General features: G+C 56.5%; 1 protein-coding gene across 6 annotated transcripts, besides 12 other annotated features; it reads right to left on the bottom strand.

Annotated features, from left to right (window-relative positions):
- On the bottom strand, positions 908-16,666 carry PDLIM4 (PDZ and LIM domain 4). 6 transcript variants are annotated; one of them, NM_003687.4, is made up of 7 exons: positions 16,535-16,666; positions 11,602-11,753; positions 7,817-7,898; positions 3,269-3,447; positions 2,896-3,059; positions 2,454-2,571; positions 908-2,337 (listed from the first exon to the last, which is right to left on the bottom strand). In NM_003687.4, the coding sequence occupies exons 1-7, from the start codon at positions 16,625-16,627 to the stop codon at positions 2,133-2,135; spliced, it is 993 nt and encodes a 330-aa protein (NP_003678.2). In that variant the 5' UTR covers positions 16,628-16,666; the 3' UTR covers positions 908-2,132. The 6 variants fall into 6 exon arrangements, with proteins under 6 accessions (NP_003678.2, XP_047273804.1, NP_001124499.1 ...); XM_047417848.1 differs by having other exon boundaries at positions 2,454-3,059; NM_001131027.2 differs by lacking the exon at positions 2,454-2,571.
- Positions 1,245-1,744: an enhancer, noted in NCBI's record as "H3K4me1 hESC enhancer chr5:131608311-131608810 (GRCh37/hg19 assembly coordinates)". NCBI's record gives its function as "activates a minimal SCP1, AML or CMV promoter by ChIP-STARR-seq in naive H9 embryonic stem cells {active_cell/tissue: H9 hESC(naive)}" and the evidence as "EXISTENCE:reporter gene assay evidence [ECO:0000049][PMID:30033119]".
- Positions 1,361-1,450: a silencer, noted in NCBI's record as "silent region_16314". NCBI's record gives its function as "represses an Ori minimal core promoter by ATAC-STARR-seq in GM12878 lymphoblastoid cells {active_cell/tissue: GM12878}" and the evidence as "EXISTENCE:reporter gene assay evidence [ECO:0000049][PMID:35858748]".
- Positions 1,745-2,246: an enhancer, noted in NCBI's record as "H3K4me1 hESC enhancer chr5:131607809-131608310 (GRCh37/hg19 assembly coordinates)". NCBI's record gives its function as "activates a minimal SCP1, AML or CMV promoter by ChIP-STARR-seq in naive H9 embryonic stem cells {active_cell/tissue: H9 hESC(naive)}" and the evidence as "EXISTENCE:reporter gene assay evidence [ECO:0000049][PMID:30033119]".
- Positions 3,194-4,082: an enhancer, noted in NCBI's record as "H3K4me1 hESC enhancer chr5:131605973-131606861 (GRCh37/hg19 assembly coordinates)". NCBI's record gives its function as "activates a minimal SCP1, AML or CMV promoter by ChIP-STARR-seq in primed H9 embryonic stem cells {active_cell/tissue: H9 hESC(primed)}" and the evidence as "EXISTENCE:reporter gene assay evidence [ECO:0000049][PMID:30033119]".
- Positions 5,256-5,365: an enhancer, noted in NCBI's record as "active region_23065". NCBI's record gives its function as "activates an Ori minimal core promoter by ATAC-STARR-seq in GM12878 lymphoblastoid cells {active_cell/tissue: GM12878}" and the evidence as "EXISTENCE:reporter gene assay evidence [ECO:0000049][PMID:35858748]".
- Positions 5,456-5,535: an enhancer, noted in NCBI's record as "active region_23064". NCBI's record gives its function as "activates an Ori minimal core promoter by ATAC-STARR-seq in GM12878 lymphoblastoid cells {active_cell/tissue: GM12878}" and the evidence as "EXISTENCE:reporter gene assay evidence [ECO:0000049][PMID:35858748]".
- Positions 5,547-6,090: an enhancer, noted in NCBI's record as "H3K4me1 hESC enhancer chr5:131603965-131604508 (GRCh37/hg19 assembly coordinates)". NCBI's record gives its function as "activates a minimal SCP1, AML or CMV promoter by ChIP-STARR-seq in naive H9 embryonic stem cells {active_cell/tissue: H9 hESC(naive)}" and the evidence as "EXISTENCE:reporter gene assay evidence [ECO:0000049][PMID:30033119]".
- Positions 7,944-8,444: an enhancer, noted in NCBI's record as "H3K4me1 hESC enhancer chr5:131601611-131602111 (GRCh37/hg19 assembly coordinates)". NCBI's record gives its function as "activates a minimal SCP1, AML or CMV promoter by ChIP-STARR-seq in naive H9 embryonic stem cells {active_cell/tissue: H9 hESC(naive)}" and the evidence as "EXISTENCE:reporter gene assay evidence [ECO:0000049][PMID:30033119]".
- Positions 7,944-9,225: a biological region, named in NCBI's record as "VISTA enhancer hs1449".
- Positions 7,951-9,225: an enhancer, noted in NCBI's record as "VISTA enhancer hs1449". NCBI's record gives its function as "enhancer in: other[5/6]" and the evidence as "EXISTENCE:transgenic organism evidence [ECO:0001131][PMID:17130149]".
- Positions 13,213-13,332: an enhancer, noted in NCBI's record as "active region_23063". NCBI's record gives its function as "activates an Ori minimal core promoter by ATAC-STARR-seq in GM12878 lymphoblastoid cells {active_cell/tissue: GM12878}" and the evidence as "EXISTENCE:reporter gene assay evidence [ECO:0000049][PMID:35858748]".
- Positions 15,323-16,112: an enhancer, noted in NCBI's record as "H3K27ac-H3K4me1 hESC enhancer chr5:131593943-131594732 (GRCh37/hg19 assembly coordinates)". NCBI's record gives its function as "activates a minimal SCP1, AML or CMV promoter by ChIP-STARR-seq in primed H9 embryonic stem cells {active_cell/tissue: H9 hESC(primed)}" and the evidence as "EXISTENCE:reporter gene assay evidence [ECO:0000049][PMID:30033119]".

The raw sequence follows: 22,004 nt of genomic DNA, 5'->3' as shown, positions 1-22,004 counted from the left end.
GGGCTGGGACCAAGTCAGCGGAGGCAGGGTGGGCAGGCAAGGGCAGACTCCTCCACCACCCCACCCTATTTGGGTGTGGCTGCAGGGAGCGTGTGTGCGTGCACACCTGCGCAGCGCTACGGTGGGGCGCCCTCAGGGCCTCAACGCACACAGTCTGACCCCTTGGGAAGCAAAAGGAGACAAGGGCCAGACATGATCTGGGGTCACCAGCAGGACCAGGACGCCACCTTGCCTCACTGCTCTATCAGCACCTGCCCATTGCCCTGAACTGTGCTCCTTCAGGGAAGGGAGGAGGCAAAAGGAGCCTTAAGAGGGAATCTCTAGCACAAATTTAACCATGAACAGAAGATCTATGAGAAGAAAGGAAAATAAAAACTTAAGCGAAGACAGACACAACATCTGAATAAATGCACAGGAAGTGCAGATCACAGTCCTCTCTGGAGGAAAAGACTAATGCCAGTTCTTCCCAAGTGAGTCCCTAGATTCAGGGCAACCTGGTCACAGTTCAGAGGTTTGCTTTTCCAGAGCCTGAGGCATGCAGTCTCAACTTCTGACAACTGGAAATGTAGAGGAATAGCTTTGACAGGTTTGTAAATGACCAACAAGGAGGAGAGATTGGCTATTAAACTCCAACACAGTAGTAATTATACATTAACAGGGAAATAGATCAGATGACCAGAATCCAGTAACAAAGATTCGTACAAAATTAGGAAAAGTTCCTACCAATCATTAAGAAGAAGTTAAATAAGCCTTGGAAAAAAATCATGAAGGGTTTGGGGTAACTTACACAAGAACTGCTCTTTTGAGAGTGAGGACCACTCTGTTCCCTTAGTGCTAGGCACCCAGCAAACACACCATAAATGCTCAAAAACTGAATGTTCATCACTGGTAATCAGAGAAATGCAAATTAAAACAAACGCATATGACATTTTACTTAACAGACTGGCAAAAATGAAAAAAGAAACATAATATCCTGAGCTGGCAGGAGCACAAGGAAATGGGTCTCGTGCTGATGATGAATGTGAATTGATAACAGTTTTTTTGTGATTTGCGATAGCACAAAATTGAAAACAGCACAAATGTACGTTACTCTGGGCTCGCTAAATAGGCACTAAATAAAACGAGTCAGTTTCTTCTCCCGAGCAAGTAAACTAGAGGGTAGATCCACGCGACCCGGAGTCTAGGACACATCCTCGGGAGTGAACAGCCACAATTCACAGACGATGTGTGCAGCCGGGGCATGAAAGGCCCAAGGCAAACACACCACGAGGTAAACGCCGGGACTCTGAGGAGAGGGGTGGAAGCCGGGACTTCGAGGAGGGGTGGAATTGACTTAGAGACAGGAGGGAGCCTCTTGGAGGGCAAAGCTGCCCTGGGCAAGTGTTCTTTTCTTTCTAAACCTTCCTTCTGGTCTCTGTCTGGAAATTTAAGCGCGCCCCCTGGTGGGGGAGAGAGGAAGGGGAAGAAAAGGGGGTCTCGGAGGAGAATAAAGTGCTCGTGGGTGGAAGAAACCTGGAACAGAAAATGCCAGAAAAACCTGGAACAGAAGTGCAGACGGCCCGCGGCGGCCCCGGTGATCTCCACACTCAATCACCCTCTCCAGGGGAGCGATCGCTCCTGAGGCTGCCAGCACCCCACCACCACCCCCAACCCGCTAGTGCCGATGACGGCCACAGAGGCCTTTCTCGCCCCCAGCTCACCTTTGCACACACAGTTCCCCCGTGCAGAGTTTGTGCCTCCCTCATCTCTTAGTTCTCAGCTAAGACTTTCCCTGACCCCACCCAGGTCATACCTCCTGTCGTCGCGCCGCACGCAGCATCCCAGACCTCACCTTCGTATTACTAGAGCTGGCCCGTTGTGATTCAGGTCTGCCTTCCACCCAGGCTGTGGCCCCCTTCAGGGCAGCATGGTACCCGTCCTGCTCACTACTGCACCCAGAGCCTAGGACATGCCTGGCACCTAAGCAGATACTACTGTACTCGGGAGCCATGCATGGCCTGCGCAGGAGGGTGGCAGGCCAGGTGACAGGTTCAAGGTGGAGCAGAGGAGCTTTATTAGAGGGACAGGGTGAAACATATTTACACCGGCCGAGCAGGGACCTTAAGAAGCAGGCGTGGGAGCAGGGTCCCAGCTCAGACGAGTTCCACCTTGGCATTGGGGTACACCGCCACCACGTCGTAGCCCTCGGGCGGCTTCACGCGCGCCTTGGCGTGGCTCTCACAGTAGAGCCGCTCGTCCAGAAAGAAGTAACCACGCTGCTTGAGGTTCAGGCCGCAGTCACTGCACATGAAGCACTCGGGATGGTAGAGCTTGTCCCGTGCCTTGACGATGGTGCCCCTGATGGGGGGAACGAGACAGGACAGCGTCGAGTGACTGATGGGTTCACGACTGCGCCCGCATCCAGGGCCCTGGAAGGCTAGGGTCCGGGAGGGGCAGCGGGGGCGGTTACTCACACGATGCCGTGGCCGCAGCGCGTGCACTCGGGCAGCCCCTGCAGGCCGCTCAGCGGAGCGCCCAGCTTGCTGGCCGTGGGCTTGAGGTTCCGGGGGCCGCCAGGCCCGGGCCAATCCCCTGAAACCCGGAGCGTAGGTGGCATGAACGGGGTGAGGAGGTCAGAACTCCATTTCTGCGGGGTGTTTGGTTGGGCGCCAGACGGGCCATCGGCACCCGAGACTGGGGAACGGGTTTGGCGGGCGTGGGGTGAGGGGCAGCGACAGGGGGTGGAGAGGGAATCGGGAAGCCAGGGCGTAGCAAGGTTGTAGCAAGGGCGTGGGACCGGGCCGCAGAGACCGAAGAGGGCAGGTGACTGCGAGGCGGGACGTGGGGTCGCTAGGGGGCAACCTGGGCACTGCAGGGAGTGGGAAGGCAGATGGGGACAGGTGGCAGGCGTCTTACCGCCCTCGCCGGCCTCTAGCATGCCCTGCAAGTAGCGGAAGGAGCCTGACTGCTTGGGCTCCGCGGCCACGGGCTCGGCTGGCTCCCGCAGCATCCTGTACACCTCGGAGCCCAGGTCGACTCTGCAGTCCCGGCTCCGCGGGAGGCCTCTGGCTGGGTCAGCGCTGGGAGGGAGAAAGAAATAGAGGAGGAAGGGATGCAGTTCCAGCCTTCACCCTGTGGACTTGGGGTCTGGTAAGGCTTATGAGTCAGAATGCAACCAGCTAAGACCCAAGGATCAAGTGTCAGGGGTCAGAGTGGGACTGGGTGAGATTTGAGGGATCAAGGGTTAAGATGGGTTCTGGGCATGGCACCGAAGGCATCTCTGTGCTACCTGGGGGGTGGAGACACATGCAGGGTGCTCATCTGGGCTGGCAGGGTGGCCTCGCTGCTGCCATTGTGAGGGACTGGAAAGCGAGGGGGTTGTCCATATGGAGATCCCAGGCTTGGTCTGCCATCTTCTGGCCCAGTCCCGGTGCCTGAGGGCCGCCTGCTGGTTGTTGGGCTGCCGTCCTATTAGAGAGAGGCCTAAGGCACTGGGAGACCCTCTGGCCTCCAGCCATTCCTTGTTCACCCCACCCCCACCCTGCTGTGCTGTGCCAGGTGGTGGATGTCAGTTGGCTTCCTCTGCTTCGGCATCTCTGGCCTGTGGTGCTCAGCCAGGGAAGGGATTTCTGGGGAAGGGCTGGGCCTGGGGACTGGTTATGCCCCTGCAGAAATGAGAAACGTCCTTGGAAAGTCAGACACAAAAACCTGGGCAGCTGAGACTCAGCCTGGGCTTGTGAGCCCTGCAGTGGTTCTGCCCACCACCACTCAGGAAGGGACAGTACTGGGGCAGGCCTATCCCAAGAAGCCTAAGGTCTGTGTGGCTACAGCAGAGTATGTGGCCTCCTGGCAGAGGTGGCCCTGGTGCCAAGCCTTCTCACCTTCCTGAACTGTGGTGGGTACTGGGTAGGCCCATGGCTGGGAACTCAAAAAACGTAACTCCTGTCCTACAGTCAGAAAGGGTCCTTGACTGTCATGTGTCCAAGGCCCTTTGGGCAGGCTGAGGCTCAAGAGTGCCATTGTGAGGTCAGCCCCTTCTGGGCCTACACCTGTCCCCCATTTCCTGCTTTCCAGGCCACAATGAGTAGCCTTCTGCAGGCACAGCAGATGAGGGGCAGAGACCAGGCTAGGGCTCAAGGCTCTCTGCCCCACTACCCCACAGCCAGCCTGGTGCCCATGGCTGAAACATTTTGGGTGGGAGTGTCCTGAACCTGCCCCCTCAGCCATGAGGAGAGGGCAGTATCTCTGTGTGTGGGGGTCTGAGTGGGGACTGGGGATCTTTGTCCCTGCAGAGTCCAGAGCTGTGCAGTTCCCAGCTTGCAAGTGCACACAAGCACCCCACAGCAATGTAAACAGGGGCATGCACACTCTCACAATTATGCTTTAAAGACACACACACACACATAAGGACAACACATATGCACCTACCAATCTCCCTACATACAACTAACTACATGCGCATGGTTACAGAGACTTGGAGCCAGCACTGGTCACCCTGGGAATGGCCATAGTGGCCTCCATAGCTGAGACTGGGCTAGTAGCCAGAGCAGCCTGATTTTAGGATGATGTCTGAGGCCAGGCCATGGGGTAGGTCTTAGCCTCAGCCTGGGAGTGACGTGTAAACCTCCTCTGCTCTACAGTGTGGTCAGAGAGCCCAGTGTGGACAGGAAAGGATGCCTATCGTAGTGGGAAGAACCCTGGTTTGGACTTAGGAAGCTCTGAGGCATAGTTGAGCCTGTGGGGTTCTGCCCTGAGTACCCCCTGCTTTTTGTAGGGTGGGAACCTGGGGAACAGGCAGACCAGCAGTTGGGTGGGCCCCCCTCCATTTCCCCCACCCCAACAGACAAACAGGAGGGTCTTGCTGCCCAGGTGGCCCCCATCAATGCAGCAGCAACAGGAAAACCCCTATCCACATCAGGCCCAACAAAAGCCCCTGAGAAACGTGAGCGCTCTCACACGTGTGTCTGTCGGGCAAGCATGCAGGCAGGGCTGACCTCTAATGGGGACCAGATGGGCTGTGGCCAGTGGGGGTGGGGCTCAGCCTCCGGGCAGAGGCTTTGGTGGGAGGGAGGAGTTGGAGGGACTGGGACTGGGAGGAAGGAGGCCCTCACTCACCCCTACCCAGCAGGGTGCAGGGGTCCACTGCAGGGCCATCAGAGCCACTGCCCCTCCCACGGTCACCCATGCAGCTGCCTCTCTAGGCCTGAACTCTGTGGCTAGGACACACATGGCTACCTCAGTTTTAGTTTGAGTCCCAGGGTTATCCCCTAACTGGGCAAGTCTCTTCACCTCTCTGAACCTGTTTCTTTATCTATGAGCTGGGGAATGTGATGCTTTCCACATCAGGTTCCTTGTGGAGATGAAATAAGACAATTGCATAGTGCCTGGCATAAAGCACATACTTGTTGGATGAATGGCTGTCAGGGGAATTCCTGGGCCCCCAGTCCTGTATTTTCCCCCTCTGTGGGTGGTACACCTCGTACCATATGCTCCTCTGCTCTGAGAACCAGCCTGCTGCCCACTTGGTTGTTGAAGCCTCAGTGGATTTTTCAGCAGGATGGGGGTAACTACCTGCTTTGGGACACTCAACTTGGATGGAGGCAGGCGCTGAGTCCAGATGAGCAGGTGCCATCTCCTAGAGGCTCAGTTCTAGCTCTCTGCTGGTCTGGGGAGGACAGGCTGAGTGTGCAAGGACTGCCTGCTCCACCTGACTTGCTTCTCCCCATCACCTGGTTCTGAGCATAATTGCCACTCCTTCCAGAAAACCCTACTAACCCAGAAGGATAGTAATAAGTTACTATCCTTCCTCCACCCTGGGCTAGGCCAAGTGCCTCCTGTGTTCCCACAAGAGGCCTGAGAGAAGGAGGTTCTCCTATCGCCCCACAGGGAAGGTGGGCCTGAAGTTCCAGCTGGCCCTGTCCCATCCCACTCGGGGATGTGTGCCAGGGCACCTTGTGCTGGTCCTAGGGCCAACTGTGGTTTCCTCCTCCTCGATGGCTCCAGCTAGCTCCACCCCCTCCCCAACACCCCCACTCAGGCAGAGGGTGGGAGCAGCATGGGGACAATGGGCCCTGTGTCTGTGTTAGCAAGGACTCAGCCCTGCAGGGGTGGGGTGGGGGTGTTTTTGTCACCACCCATGGAGCCCATGACCTTTTAAGTACAAAAGTGGGGCAGCAGCTGAGGGGCTGCCCTGGTGCTTGTGGAAACTCCCTCCTTCTCCAGTCTGAGCCACTGGCAGCCTGGTCTTCAAGGGAGTCAATGAGAACAAGTGTGGGGGCAGGGGGAGCTGCTCTACAGTCGCCAGCCTCCCAGGCCCACCGGCCCTGAGCCTCTCCTGGAAGACTGAACCCCCTCCCCACCACGTCATCCTGGCACTGCTACCTCTGAGGGAGGCTGGGCCTCATGCATGAGCTTGAGGCCCACACCCTGCTGCTCCCCTCTGCCTGGCCTGTGGCAAACCTGGCTCATTTGTCTATGGCAACATGTACCCCTACCCCTAAGGTCTGGGGTCCATGGGGCCATCAGAGCAAGTTTCTGAGACACAGATGTGGCCATGAATCCCTGTAAGAACAGCTGAGGTCCAGGATAGAGAAGCCCAAGAGCCTTTCTGTGGCCCTGCTCCACCACCTCATCTCTCACCTCTGTCCTCTCACTCCTTCCATCTTGTCCTCCCTTCCCCTGGACCTTTCTTTTCTCTGAACTTGTGGTGCAAGACCTCACCTCTGGGCCACACTTCCTCTCCCTATACCCCTTTGCCTGCCTTACCATTCCTAGCCCTTCAGGTCTTGGCTTCAATACCCCTTCCTCCAGGAAGCACTCCTTGACTCCTTGTCTGAGTCATGTGACTACTCTGGGCTCCTTTGGCCCCTGGCTTCCCCTAGCCCAGAACTTCTAAGTGCCTTTCCCCTGCCAGAATGGGCACTGCCTGGAAGGTGGTAAGCATCTGGCTCCAGGGATGCCAGCCAGGCAGGGTAGGGAATAGAGCAAGATGGGATTGGGGTAGATAGTGAGGGAGAAGCTGGGGCACATCCTTCCCTCTGGTTCAGTGAAGCCTCTCCCTGCCTTGGCCCCTTTTCTTTCATGTTGAGAGGGTGGACAAAGGCAGGCCCAGGAGGCAATGGTCCCACATGCTGGGTCCCATGGTTCTGGCTCCATCACAGACCATCCCAGTCTCCTTGCCCAAACTCTGTGGCCCAGAGATGGCTCTGGATACCTCAGTCATCCCCACTTGGCTACTCCTTATGCCATGGCAAAACAAGGCCCTAGAATAGCCTGACCCCCTCACTCTTCTTGAGGACAGGACCAGAGATATGACTTCTATCACACACAGAAAGGTGACTGGGCAGACAGGCCTGCAGCCTAAGTTCTGCTAGAAGCACCACAGGATGGCCAGGAGAGAACTTCAGGCTTGGATAGGGCACTCAGAGGAGTGTCCCATAGCCTGAGGTCACTCCACAGCCTGAGACTGCCACCAATCTCCCCCGCTGCAAGCACAGTGACTTCTTTCTGGTCTGGCATCACTGAGCACCAGAGTGAACTCCAGCTGGCTGTGTGATAGCCGCAAACCAAGGCCTAGCCCAGATCCTGGACATCATAGGCACCTTGGTCCAGAATCCAGGATTGCCCGGAGTAGAGACAGAGCCCACACCAGGTGCTCATCATCTGAGGAACATGGGATGGGGTATGGATGTGGTCCAGAGAAAACTTCTGCTTCAGTCTCTGTCTTGGGTATCTGAGAGCCCCAGTGAGGACATTCAGTGCAGGTGAACCTGCATGCTGGCCCCTCTGCCCTGGGCTCACTCTGAGCCAGGCCAGGCCAGGCAGTGTCTGTACATACCTGGATCTCAGGATCGATGTGGATCCTGTGTGCCTGAGCCTTGCTGTCATCAGGGGCACTGGGCCAGCTCCTACCCTCAGGCCTGTGGCAGAAATTGTGATGGTCAGATATGTCTCCTACCACGCCCACCATGCCTGGGAGCCAGGATCAAGAGGGGCTGGGCTCTGGGCTGTGCCCTGCAGGTAGAAGAACACCACTCCAGTGCTTTCCCCTGTACCACAATGGTGACTGTTGTGGCAATGAGCCACAACTCTAGCTGCCATCCTCCTGGGGTAGGGCTATATGCTTCTGTCCCCATCGGCTGCCCAATCCCTCTCTAGTCTGGTTCCTGGAGAGGCTGCAGGAGAAGCCCTGTGTCTTCCCTAATCTTCCACCCTCTTCGTGGCCTACAGAAGCTCAGCTCAAAGAGGCCCAGCTTATAGCACTGCAAGCCAGGCCTCACACATTGACCAGCTAGAAGCCTATCCACGCATCCTCTGGGCATCTACAGCCTCTGGTGGGGTGTGGGGTCAGGCGTCCGTCGGCTCTGGGGTAGGTGGAATGGAGGCTCTGAGGGGTGTGTCTTTCCTCCTGCTGCTGCTGCCGGCAGAGTCATCACTGAGTCTGCCCAGCCCAGATGGGAAACAGGCCATTAGGAAATTCCTGCTTCGCCATAGAAACCAAAAGCCAAACACCACTCAGGAGGGAGAAAAACATCATAAACCTGCCATAAGCAGGGCAGGCAGGCCGAGAGGCTACGTGCCTAAGGCCCAGCCCTGTCACTCAGTAGCCCTGTGAGAAGGCAGGCCAGGAAGGGGCATGGACCCTGGACTGGCAGGTGGGTATGAGGTGAGGCTGGTTAGACCAAAGGGGAATAATGCCCTCCAACTCACCCCACGAAGCCTCCTGAGGCTTCTCAAGGTCTCATTACTGACCTAGCAGCTTGCCCCTGCCTCTTCTGCCCCCTTCAGTTGAGGGTTTTAATAATCTATCTATGCCTATGGTCCATACTCACTCTGCACTTCCTCGCCTCTGCCCATTCCTTAGTCCCTTGGAGGCTACCTCTCTACTCCAGGCCTTTGGTATTAGAGCTCTGCTGCCCCAGGGCAACACCAGCCCCATAGTCCCTGTCTCTAGCCCCCTCAACCAGGCTCCCAAGTGGGTACCCTAACTCACAGCTCTAACTGTGGCCTCTATCTACTCAGAACTCCTCTGGGATAAAGCTGGGACATCTTGTGTGGCTATTTGGCCTTCAACTTCCCTGAAGTTCTGCCCAGAAGAGCAGTACAAGCCTGACGTCTAAGGTCGAAGGGCACAAAGTACCCAGAGCCATTAATGTGGCCCAATGCATCAGATCAGAATGAAGGGCTTAATCATGTGTCAACCCCCATCCCAGGCTGGGCTCTTTAAACAAAATGACAGGCAAAGGGTAGGCTGTGCAAAGGTACCTTGGGCCACATGTGATGGACAACAGGGACTCTATCAGTGGCCTCAGTGTTGGAGTTGATGTCAGAAAGGTCCTGGACCTATAGAACATGCCCAGGAAGTGTGATTTTGCTTGGATTGTTGGATGCCTGGCTTTGGGCTCAAAGCAAAAGAAGCCCAGTGGGGAAGCTGGGCCTTTGATACACTTTTCATTCTGTGGGGGAGTTGGTGGGGGGATTAGAGCTCTCTGTACACAAGAGGGCAGATAGGGAAGCTGGTCTGGGGTAGAACCCTGGGAGTGAGAGCACAGGGTAGCTCACTCCAGCCAGCTCAACAGGCTGATTTACTGCAGAGCCCTTGCTGTGTGGGTGTGTGTGGTGGGGGCGGGGAGGAGTGTCGTTGGGGGCCAGGCATAGGTCCTGGCATAGCAGGCAAGATAGGGAGCAGAGTCAGAAAGCTTGCAGGTGGGCAAGTGTCCAGGAGAAGAAATGTTGGCTCAGAAAGTCAAGGTGGCCCTCATGTCTTGATCCCCCAGAGTCTGCATGTGTGAGGGGGCTGCAGGGCAGGACTCAGGTTTTCACTCTGACTGAGCAGGCCTGGTACATCATCACTCAATGTCCAGAGCGCAAGATGGTCCATATTTTTGGTTGAGGAAGTTATGGGCTCAAGAGATTAAATCACTTTCTGGAGCACAGCATAGTTATCTCTCCCTCTCTCTCTTTTATGGGTAAAATTATGAGCATAATTCTCAACCCAGCTCTGTAATAGTAGAGAATGTGCTCTCATCTGCTCCATGGCCAGTGACATTTTGGGGCTGAAATGCTCAGAGTGGAACAGGTCAGTGGACCTCTGGCTCCATCCATGCCTGGTTTGGAACAAAGGACTGGGGAAGGAAGGAAGGAAGGAAGGAAAGAAGGAGGGGGACCTCCACCCCACCACCCTCCGCTGACATCATACACTCTGAGAAGCTCCTGACTCAGGCCCCCTCTGAGGCACTCCTCCCCACTACTCCACTACCACTAGGGCTGCCCTTGTTCAGCCACACAGAGTCAAGGCTGGAGGTGAGTCAGGGGCCAGGATCCCAGCCAAGTGGGGAAGCTTCAGAGGTCACTCATGGGCAGAGCAATGCTGACATTTCCCCCATCCAGCCTGTATCTCAGTCTGGAGGAGGGTGATGAATGTGATCCGTTAATGGGAAAGGAAACCCCGGGCTCATAGAGGTCATCTGGGCACCTAAGGCTCCAGAGGCTGGATGAGGACCAGCTTTGCTGAACTCCAAAGATGGAGCATCCTCACCGTGTGCCAGGGCCAAGCACAAACAGGGCTGACCTCACAGGCCTCTCCACCATGTTTAAAGGCTCCAAGCCAGTGGCTTACCTCCCACCCTGCCAGCTCAGAGGCATGGTTAGCTGTGTTGTGGTTTGGGGAGGCTTTGCCCACGTACTTCCACAGGGGGTCATGGAAATCCCCTCAGCAGTGAACACGGCAGAGCTGATAAGTTATGCCCGACTTCTGTGGATCAAGGTGGGCAGGGGAGTGGGGAGATCCCACTCAGCCAGGCTTAGGCCAACTGCTTCTCAGAGCTGAGTAAAGACCCAGGACCTGAGCAAGGCTGGGTCCCCCCACCCCCACCCCCAGTGGACCTTCTATCCCAGGATCATTTATGGAGCACAGATGGGCTTGGTAACCCCCTGTCCTCCCCTTCTTGATTGGCTGCAAAGCATTACACAGTCCTTAGTGGGAACTTTTCCCAAATCCAGATTTAACCAGGGCAGAGGTGTGGGCCACGGTGGCGACAGCTGTGGCAGGGCAGCTGAGGGGCTGGTAGGAGTAGTCAGCAGCCAAGTTAAGGGTCTGTAGTCTTAGGAGAGAGCCCCAAAATCAAATTTTGCTACCCCACTCCCTCTCTGTGTGACTTTAAGCACCATCTAACCTTTCTGAGCCTCACTTGTCTCATCTGTGAAGTGGGGACTATAGTAGCCCTTTTTTAAGTTGGTAAATGAGGGTTAAATGAGGTGTTGCACAAGAAACTACTTTGAAATGGTCATCAAGCTGGTCACTCAGGGGAGGGGAAAGGAATGAAACAAATGCCCCAGAGGCTATTCAAGGTCTTATTTCAGTTGCCTGCAACACTTGCCATAAGTGCCCCAACACACTTCTAGTCTAAGTTAAAAGGGGATTTCTTCCCTTCTTAAGCTATAACTCTAAACAGTATCTGCCAGGCCCCCATGAAAGTGCTACTCCTTGGGACTGTTCCTGGATGGGGCACCCAGGAGCTGAGGCAGAGAGGCTGTGTGAAGCTGGGCTCACCCAAAATGCCAGCTGCCCATAACTGCCCACCTCGTCCTTCCATCCTCCCAGCCCAGCCCACCTGTGCATACCTGCTCACAGACAGTGTGAGGTGATCGTGGCAGCCCTTGATGCGGTTCTGTGCCTCCAGGTGTGTCATGAGCTCTGTGCTCTCACCATTGATGGCCTGGATCAGGTCTCCTGGGCACAGGGCAGCCAATGCAGCCTTGCTGCCAGCATGGACCTGCGAGCAGACAAGCCAGATGGCTGGGCACAGTCATGATATGGTCTTGCTGCAAGCTGTGCCCTAGGCCTCCTCCAACCTCAGAACCTAGCCAGTGTGGCCTGCTACCAGCATGGCCTGTGGATGGGCAAGCCGAGTGGCTGGTTGAGGTCCCCATGTAGCCTGGCTGCAGCCTTGCTGGAAACACCTCCAACTCCAGCACCTGGAGGCCTGGCAGGGCATGAGGATATACGAGAAGGGCTTCCTCAGGGCTGGGACAAATGGATGTTGTTCTTGCAGCCTGCGTATGTGCCCAAGGACATGCAGGGGACACAGAGACACATGGAGACATAGGTGCTCACAGATACATACACAGCATGGACATATCACAGATACCCTACACAGACAAGGCCCCAACCAGACAGACTACACACCTTGACCTAATATTCAAACCCTTAGTGACCTTGCCTTCCTACTTGCTTGATTTCAACTCTCATCCCCACCTCCACACCCACACTCTGTCCAGACCATGTGAATGTCTATGGGGTGCTCACAGGCACCATATATCACTCACCTCTACACTTCTGCAAAAGCTGCTCCCTCCACCTGGAACATTCCTTTGACTCCCACATCCTCATCCTTCAGATCTCAGCATAGAGGCCACTTCCTCTGGGAGCCTCTCTGGGATCTCACTACCCAGTGTGCTCCCATGACCACCTTTTCCCCCTACACTGTTCATGTTAATACTTCATTATAATTAAAATGGGAAGGTCTGAACATCACCTCCCTGAGCAAGTCCAGGGCCATCCAGTTCCAGCTGACAGCCTGCGTTTGGGGGTCAGAATTCTACCTCTACTTCCCCTGCAGGACAGGAACTCAGGCTACCTCAGTGCCACTATTGACCCCTCGGGGTCAAGCAGTGTTCACACCTGGAAGCTCTTACAATGCTGGTCAACTGAAGAAGGCTAGAATGGGGGGTGGAGTTAGACTCACAGAGATATCTAAGTAAGCAACTCAGGGGAATCCAGGCCATGGAGCACCCCTCACCCTGCCTTGACCCCAACATAGCCTTTAGAAATATATTTCTTACCCAGCCTCTCCAGCCAGTGCCCAGCTGGTTCAAAAGCTGCCAGTGACCCCATTCTTTTGGGTGGGAGCTCCTACTGGTGGGAACTCCTGGAAGCCCAGCTAGGCTCAGTTCAGCCAGGTCTCAGTAGTGAGTGGACAAAGCTGAGGTGCTGGCAGCTCCTTGGCTGGAGGCCTGGTGTTGGCACTGCCCAAGCTGACCTGCCCTGAAGTAGGCTGCCTCAAGGAAACGTTCTTCTGAAGCATGACACCCTCAGCCAACTAGCCCATCATTAATGTTCACTTGTAGGGCCTGGGCACCTGTGCAAGCCTGTCATCCTGGGGGAGACACCCACTTGGCACCATCCCACCCTCCCCTCAAGGCCATCCTCTGCCTCCTCCCCTTCATGGATACCTGCCTTGTGCCAGGGCCTGGGCTCTATGCTTTACCCATAACTAGCTCACAGCAACCCCTCAACCACCTGGTGAGGCAGAGGCTGTTCTCATCCCTATTTTACAGATGAAGAGAAAGAAGCTTGGGGGAGGGATGCCATGCCCCAGTCCCCACACTGGAGAGGAGTCTTTCTTCAGGGGGCGGCTAACTGCGGCAGGATGACTCAGCCAGCACAAGGGGTACATTCAGGCTTCTGTGGGCGGAGGAAGTTTCTTGAAAGCAGTGGTGGCTGGGATGCTGCCAGCTCTATTGAGCTAGGGGAGTTCTGGTCAGAGAGGGCGTGAGGCCAAGAAATTGTGACTCTCCCAGTCACCTTTACATGCATTATCTCATTAATCCTGAAGGCAAGCCCATTTCCTAGATCAGGAAACGGAGGTCCAGAGAAGTACAGAAGGATAGTTAATTGATAAAAGACTGAATCAAGATTTCAATCCAGGCCACCTGATTCCAAATTTAAAACTATGCTCTTAACACCTGCATTTTTCTTCCAAAGGGGGTAAGGGAAAAGAGAGTATCTGAGGGAGAGATAGTGTTCCAGGCAGAAGGACCAGCATGTATAATGGCATATCTGGAGAGAAAGAAGAAGGAAGGTTGTATGGCCGGAGCATCATGAGTGAGGGGAGAGTGGGAGAGATGAAGTCAGAGAAGAGGCAGGGATCAGATATTGCAGAGTCTTGTACACCCGGGTGGGAAGCTGGCATTTCTCCTGGGTGGCTGGGAACCATGGAGGGCTCTAAGCGGGAAGTCACAGGACAGAGTGGAATTCAGGCCGATCCGTCTAGCTCCTAAGCACAGGATAAACAGAAAGAAGGAACAGAGACAGGAACAGTGAAGTCAGGTGGGCGGTGAGGGCATGAATCAGCCCCTTACCGGTAGTGGCTGCATTCCCAGCCCCTGCTCCACCCAGCCTAGATGTGGTGGGCTGGGAGTCCAAGTCAGAACCAGGTGCCACATTGTCCTACACAGTCACAGCAAACTGCAGACTGCCTGGATTCCTCCTGTCTCCACTCTGCTTCTCTAGGTTGATTACATTAGCCTCTCTGTGCCTGGGTCTCCATCTATGTAAGGCCAGAGGGAGTCCTTACTTCTAAAGGCTGTTGTAAGGACTATTTGAGAAAAACAGGGCATGTAAAGCCCCCACAGGAGGCTGGGCATAAATAAGGTGGTGCTCACTACAGGGACTGGAGGGAGCTGTTACCAACACCCATTAGGGTAGGGCCTGGCACACCCTGGATGCTTGGCCAAGGCCAGCCATCATTATAGCTTGTGGGGAAGGAGCCCCGGATGATGTTCTTGGGACTCCTGGAGGCTTCATGGGCTGAGATTGCAAGCCCCCAGCCCTGCCGGGCCGATAGCCTCCTCCCTGTCTGTGTGAGGCTGTCCCTCCCTACCAGGTCCCGCGTAGGGGAGGTCCTGGAAGCAAGGGAGGGGCTGGATCTTGAGCCCCACTGGTGAAGACACTCCCACATATCTTCAGTCCCTGTAGACCTGCCCCAGAGGTACCTGCTAGGCAAGCTGTGGCCTGTGCCTCCCCAGCGCTGTAAATCTCCCCAGATCCCACCCAAACCCAACCTCAGCCATCCTGGCTCCTTGGGCCTGAGCTGCTGCCGCGTGACTTTGGGGGACAAAGGAGGCTCTTCCTGGCAAACCTTCTCCCAGACTGCCTGCCTGGGGCCTGCATCCCCAGTCAGCTCCAAACAAGGCTGTTGCTGCTGCTGCTGCCGCAGCCGCAGCTGTGACGTGTGGAGGCCTTTCCTCGGAGGGCAGGCAGCCGCGTGGGCAACAGATGTCTCAGCTCCCTGCCGCCTGCAGCCGTCAGCCGCCGCCACTGAGCCTGTCAGCGGCCTCACGCCCAGGGTGCCTGGCCAGCCCGCTTAGTGTCCCCACCAGCCCCCTCAGCGGACACACAGCATGACACACACAAGCAGACACAGGCTTGCGTACACACACACACACACACACACACACACACAGCAGGAATCCTATAGGAAAGAGGAGATGAAAGGCTCTGGGATGTGTTGAAGGCCCACCTCACTCGGCCCCAGGGACCTGGCAGTGAGGGCAGATGTGGGAAGCCTCCTAGGACAGCTGGGCCTGCCTGTCACCCTGGCCCCCAGAAACGGGATTCCATGATTCCACGCTCCACCTGGTGCCCACCCCCTCCCAAGAACTGGACAGAAGTCTCTTAAAGCCCAGCCGGCTTGGCCCAGCCCCCATGGCAAGAGGTGGCAGTAGGGTGGGGGAAGGTGCTTCTCTGTGCCTCTGACACAGGCCCCCAAAGACAAGATCAGCCTGTGTGGGAGCAAGGGATGGCCGTCAGATGGTTTCAGGTTATCTCCTCTGCTCCTTCCAGACTGAGAGCCGCCAAGGGCAGGGCCTGGGTTCTCTCCTCTTCTGTCCCTTAGGCTGGGGACCCCCAAGGGCAGGGTCTGAGTCCTCTCTTTTGGCCCTCCAGACACGAGGATGTCGAGGCTGGGCCAGGATCCTGTCTCCCCTAGACAGGCACCCCCTCGAACAGGGCCTGAGTCACCTCCTCCACTCCTCTATCCTCAGACTAGCCACGCTCCAGGGCTGTGCCGGCTCCTTTTCCTTCTCTGTGGGCAAGGCAGGGCCCTGGGAAACTTGAGGAACGGGCCTGAGGCTGTCCTGGCCCCCGGCTTTGTGTCATCTTGTGGGGAGGGGTCTCACAACCTCACAGTTAAGTCTCCCTTTCCCCTGGAAGCCAAAATTCCTCCTGGTCACTTCCCCTTAGGGTGACTGAGGTCGTGAATGAGAGACTGACTCACGCCCAAAGTGGGAAGTGGATGGACCTCTGTCTTCTCAGATTCAGCGAGGACCCCAGACCTCCCTGGGTCACCAAGCTCTGCCGGCAGGGACCCCTGATAGGGGAAGGGGGGCTCTAAATCATTTTGCCCCAGATCTTCAGGCAGGGGGTGAGTCTGAAGAGTTTCTGGGCCTCTGTAGAGCTGTCTAGACCCCTGGCCCATCTCCGCGGGTCCTTCCCGGGTCCACAGTGGCTCCCCCAGATGAGGCCAGCGGGGAGGCGGGTGCGTGAACTCTTGGGAGATTCTTCGCGGGATCGGGCAGACAGGCCCAGCGTGGGAGGAGGGCGGCTGGGGCTGCCTGCCTCTGCCTGGAAGCCGCCTCTACAGCATGCGGGGCGCCCAGGCCAACCCTCCGCCTTCAAGCCTCGGATACACAGGGGATCTGGGTCCCGGGCGGACCGCGAGAACCCGGTCTCAGACATGGGACCGCCCTGCCGCCACGCAGCCGCCAGACTCACCCGTGAGATGGTGAGGGGCGCGCTGAAGTCCCGGCCGCCCACCAGGCGGAAGCCCCAGGGCGAAGGCCCGCGCAGGGTCACGGAATGGGGCATCGCGGGCTGGAGCCGCAGCCGGAGCCTGAGCCGGACTCTGAGGAGGAGCCGCCGCCGCCGCAGCCGCCGCCGCCGCCTGGACGCCGCGCCCGCCCCCGGCCCGCCCGCCCCTGTCCCCACTCGGCCCAGCCCCCGCCCCCGCTCCCTGTGCGCCTGGATTGGCCCCGCGGCCAGCCCGACCCTCCCACTTCGGGGGGCTCTGAGGACCCGCCCTCAGCCCCGGCTGCCGGCAACCCGGCACCCCCACTCAGCTCTCAGAGATCCCCGCGTTCGGACGGCCCCGACGGCCTGGATCCTGCTCGGGCCTTGGATCTGCAGGCCGCGGACCCAAACCCAGCTGTCGACACCGGCCCTTTGAAGTCGCTTTTAGGGGCGGTGCTCCAGCCCGAGGAGGGATGGAGGGCCCACTTGGGGGATGGGGCTGCCCCAGCTCAGATACCTCCTCATGGGCCCGACTGGCACACCTGCGGCCCATCCTGCCGTGTGAGGAGCCCTCTGAACCAAGAACCCTATGAACCAGGGGCTTGCGCAGCACTGGGCCGGGGACGCAGACCCAAAACGACAGCAGGCAGCGCCGAGCGTGGGAGTGGACACAGAAAGGTCCTCAGACTAGTTTGTGGAGGCCAGTAAGGCTTCCTGGAAGAGGTGGTCCCTGACTTGTATCTGGAAGCAAGGTGTCCCTGCTTCCCCAGAACATTCAGGCCTTCTCTTGCTGCTTGCAGGCTCCTCGCAGGCCACCTCCCTGTCTGCACAGCCCCCTCCCCTCGTCCTTTGCCAGGAGATTTGTTTCCCCAGGTCTCCTGAGAAAGTAGCAGCTGGAGCGGCTGGGGTCGTGGCTGTGCAGTGTAAAGGGAAGAAATATATGCAGCGCTTCACTTTGGGCCCTTTTCTCTCCAAGGTCTTCTCTCCATTCCCAACCATTATCCTCCGGGGATGTACTTGAACAGCCAATGCAGATGCCATGGCACCACCAACCTCCCTCTGGTTCTCTCGGCACTTCTATCTGGCTACATCAGGGAGACACCTTTTACTTTTCCAGACTCTGTGGAGGTCTCTCATTTAGCCCAAATCCTTAACCTTATGTGTCCTTTTAGTCAAGCTGTGATAAGGACCCTGCTCTTGGGCTCCTCACAGGTGGTGGGATGAAATGTGTCCACTGGGTCTCTGACAACCCGCAAAGAGGAGAACTGCTTGAGAAGCACAAACCTAGGGCAGTCCAAGGAAGGGAGGGGCCCTTCAGAGTAGAATGTGGGTGCCTCTGTAGGAGGCAAGATGCTGCTATCTGTTCAGCTGGGAGAGAAACAAGTGGTGTGTGGTAGCGGTGTTTATATGGGAGTGTATTTGGGGTGTGTGTGTGGGGGGGGGTGCGGTGTCTGAATCCATTAGAGCACCAGCCATTGGGCTGTTCTCCATCACTTTGTGGTGGAGGAGGTTTCTGCTCAGCCCCTTGCAGACTTGGATCCCAAGTGAAGAAAGGTGGAAGGGCCAGCAGGAGAGCTGGTCACTGCATTGTCTCTCTGAGGTCTGTAGGCCAGAAGCTCCCCAGGACTTAGACCCTACTAAATGGGGTAGAGAGTAAGGGGCAGCCATCACTTATCACTGGCTGTCCTGAGGGTTTGGTGTACAGCATGGCTTGTGGTCAGAGGCCTGTCAGCTGGGCTCCAAGAGTCCTAGTGAATGTAAACAGTGCAGACCTTTTCTGGGGGGAAGGGATCCTCAAGGGTCTGTGGAAGCTTCCACCCAATGTATCCCAAAGTGAATTCCTGAAACTCCTCTTCATACATTGCTTGTTTCCCCCGATTTCACATCCCAAAGACTGCCTACACTCCTTGCCTCCATCCTGAAATTCCTTCATTACCCGTTTACTTCTGTCCGGGGGAATGTGAAGTGGTCCTCCTGAATATGACCTTCCTGGCCCCTGAGTCTCTGGGCAGTGTAATCCATCTCCAAAGGCTTCTATCACAAGTTTGGAGGTGGAGGTGGGGTGGGGACTCTGGATGAATTTTTTAGAATCTGGTCCATAAACTTCCCCATTTCATTGGGCAGCATCTGGACAGATTGGAATGATGCAGGATCCGGGTCCAGGCCAGTCATTCCCTCACATGAGCTCATGTTGACATCCCTGACTTAAGAGAACATCAGAGGCTTACTTCTGACTGTGCCTTCCCACAGGGGAGATGCCAGGTCAGGTTCTGTACCTGGAGTTTGGGGGTGGCCCTTCTTAGGGGCCATGCTGTAAACCCACTCATAAGGTACCCTGAGTTCTAGGCAGCAGGTCAGACAAGCTGCAGATTCTATGGCTTCTCCAGCTCTCCCGAAAGTTCTTTAAGGAAGCCCTCAGATTTCCTTTTCCCCTGTAATGGCCTTGGTCCTTGGAGATTGCTGTATTGCTGAGACCCTATCATGCTGGAATACCAAGTCATAAGGCAGTCACAGGGTCTGGAAGCCCTCTTCAGGGTGGGGATGTGTGGTGGCCAGGTCACACATCACCCCTGCCCTAGTGGCCTTCACGTATTTACTGCACACCCATCAGGTGTCTGTGCTGCTGGGAATAATCAGACTGCTTATTTCATGCATTCTTCTTCTCTGCATAAGTACGTATTGAGTACTCAGGGATGGGTCCAGGTATCATCCATAAGGGCAGAGGCTGTGTCTGTCTTATTTATTTGTGTCTCTCCAGCACCCCGCAGAGAACTTGGCACACACAAGGCATTAAAAAACATTTGCTATTAACAACACCACAGTTACAGGAATTATTATCTTAGCTTACCCTTTGGACATGACCCAGAGGGACGCAGGGAGGGCATAAGGGGGCTTAGGAAGGTGAAGAATTCTGCTTCTGTTGCCTTCGAGGCCACACCCAGTGGCTCAGGGCACGATGCCCAGGCCTTCTGTATGCAGCCAGGTCTGTCCAAGGTCAGGAGAAGTCACTGTGCTCTTTCCTCAATGGGCAGGCAGGGCTGGCAGGCTCCAGCAGGAGCAGACACCCTTGGGAATGCTGTTGGGCCTGAGCCTAGAATAAGAGGGAAGGATTGGGACAAGAACAACCTCAGGCTAAGGGTGAGGTCAACCTGGAGGACAATCCAGGAGAGTGCCCAGAATTGATGTAGCCCTGAGTGGGGAGGTGCGGTGGAGCTGATGAGGCAGCCCATATTTGAGGATACCTTCCCGTGAGGCCCTGGGGGCTAGCCAGAGAGCTCAGCTGCTGACCCGCTCCTCCCTGGCCTGGTGGCCTCAGGTCTCTAGGTAGAGTCTGCTCCATTCTGGCTCAGCTCCTGGAGGCCAAGACATCTCTCCTTCAAGGCCCAGCCCCGTCTCCCCAGCCAAGAGCCTGGATTCCAAGGGGATCTAAAGCCTTGCTTGGGAGTTCCATCTTCCTGGAATGCCCAGTCCACAGTACTGACCACTCCAGGGCCTCAGCAAACAGCCAGAGAGAACTTTAGATGCCTTCATTTCAGTGTGACCTGTCTGGTCCAGCTCCACCCAGATGTCTGCTCTCTTAGAAGCCTGCTGGTCAAGGCCAGGAACTCGAATGGTGGAGAGGAAGCAGTCTGTGGTGGGCACAGCTGGATAGAGGGGGCAGCGTGGGTCTCCTGCAGGGCTAGAACTGCGCCTTAGAGTGACAGGGAGTTAAGGCAGGCCCACTGTAGGCAGGGGTCAAGGGCTCTGCAAGGGGTAGAGGCAGCCACAGGCATGGGCACCAGGCAACATCCAAAAGGAAGGTCTGAGACAGTACAGCCTGTGAGGTGGGCTGGGGGCTGATGCCCAGCATATCCTGGAAGGACAGGACTCAGTCAGGAGGCAACAAAACTGGTCCTGGAGCCGTGGTTGGTTCAGCAGAACACACAGGGGAGGGCGTGCCTGTGGCAAAGGGCGTTTCCCAGCTCTAGTTTTGTGCCATTCAATCCCTCAACAAACACTTATTGAGTGCCTGCTCTATGTCCAGCCCAGACCTGGTCAACTAACCTTGGAGTGTGGTGGGGATTCTCCAAGCTGCCACACCTCTCTAGGGGCTGAGATGCTGGAGGCTCCAGAGGGGGTCAGTCTCTGAGGATCCAAACAGGGACAAAGCTGGCTCTGCCAACTGGGACCCAGTTACTGGCCCTGAGCCAGATTCCAGGGCGGACACAAGAGCAGAACCAACTCTCTTCAGGAAACTGAGCCTGGGGGAGGTGTGTGACCACCACACGCTCACACAGTTTCAAGTGGTAGGTCTGGGGTTTTAGACCCTGTGTTGGTGCCTTTGTGCCATGTGCCTTGCCCCAGGGACAGATGTGTCTCAGCTGGACCTGCAGTCCCCATCAGCACCCCTGTCAGACCTGCTCTTTCTCTGTTTTCACAGAGAAAACCAGTCTGCTCTGGGACCCAACAAAGGGGTTGCCAGGCAGCAGGGCGGGGACAGGTTTACCTAGCTGGGCCCAGAGAGGCCCTGGCCCTGAGGCCTGGGTGTAGAAAGGTGTTGGGAGGAGTGGCATCTCACACGGTGGGGGTGGGGGGGGTGGGAGGGGGAAGGCAGCTGACAGGTGGGAGAGCCAGAGGTGGCTCAGCGCAGCCCCAGCAGGGAAGTGACAGAACAGGCTGTTTGTGGTGGCAGCGAGGCCCATGTGATGGAGCCTTGTGCAACTGGGGCCTCAGGAAGGCAGCTTGCAAAAGCATCACAGCCTCACCTCTGCCTCAAGGAGACCCCCATCCTTTCACCCCTCCCACTTCTCATTCAGGCCAGAGGATTCGGGCAGCCTGCCGGCCATCCCTTAGTCTCCCCCAGCATCAGATGTCCCAAGTCTACCTGTAGTCCATAAATAGAGGCCCAACCCAGGTGTCTTCAGGTTTCCAGTTTCTCCTGACAGCTGGAGCCTTCCCTTAGTCTTGCCTCTTGGTGTCTGTGAGGAGAAGGTGCCTCCATTTACAAATCAGCTCCTCCAGGCAGAGCAGCAGAGGGATTGCAGAGCAACTGTACCATGTGCTCATTCTACGCCCTGGACCTAGAATGTCTTGGCCGTGGCCTGACCATCACTGTGCCTGGACAAAAGCAGGGGTGTAAAAACCTTTCCTTCTCAGCCCGAGAGAGAGAGACGCTGCTATAAGGTGCAGGTAAGGCTTGAGCAAAAGTGCAGGGTTGACAAGAAGGAGACGGACATACATGCAGCCCAGAAATTCAGTTACTGGGGCTCTCCAGACATACTCTGTCACTCATCTGTCAGCTGGGGCCTGGACTCATGGCCCAGCTTTAGCCCTGCCCCAGCGCACACATCCACAGACACTCAAATTTAGCAGTGACCTGGCCAGGACTGTCTGGTCTCTGGCCTGAGGCCCCTCCTTCTCTTCTTGACCACTAGAACTGACATCCAGGGCTACTCAGAAGGCAGGAGAGGCCCAT

This window comes from Homo sapiens, chromosome 5 (assembly GCF_000001405.40).
Source record: "Homo sapiens chromosome 5, GRCh38.p14 Primary Assembly".
NCBI classification, from domain to species: domain Eukaryota; kingdom Metazoa; phylum Chordata; class Mammalia; order Primates; family Hominidae; genus Homo; species Homo sapiens.
This window is presented reverse-complemented; position numbering and strand designations above follow the sequence as displayed.

Bases quoted from the DNA above. Each gene is read 5' to 3' on its own strand.
- PDLIM4 (XM_047417848.1), bottom strand. From the start codon at position 16,627: ATGCCCCATTCCGTGACCCTGCGCGGGCCTTCGCCCTGGGGCTTCCGC. The intron at 7,899-11,601 runs GTATGCACAGGT...TTTCTGCCACAG, and splicing joins CTCACACTGTCTGTGAGCAG to GCCTGAGGGTAGGAGCTGGC. The intron at 2,338-2,453 runs GTGAGTAACCGC...TCCCCCCATCAG, and splicing joins CGCTGCGGCCACGGCATCGT to GGGCACCATCGTCAAGGCAC.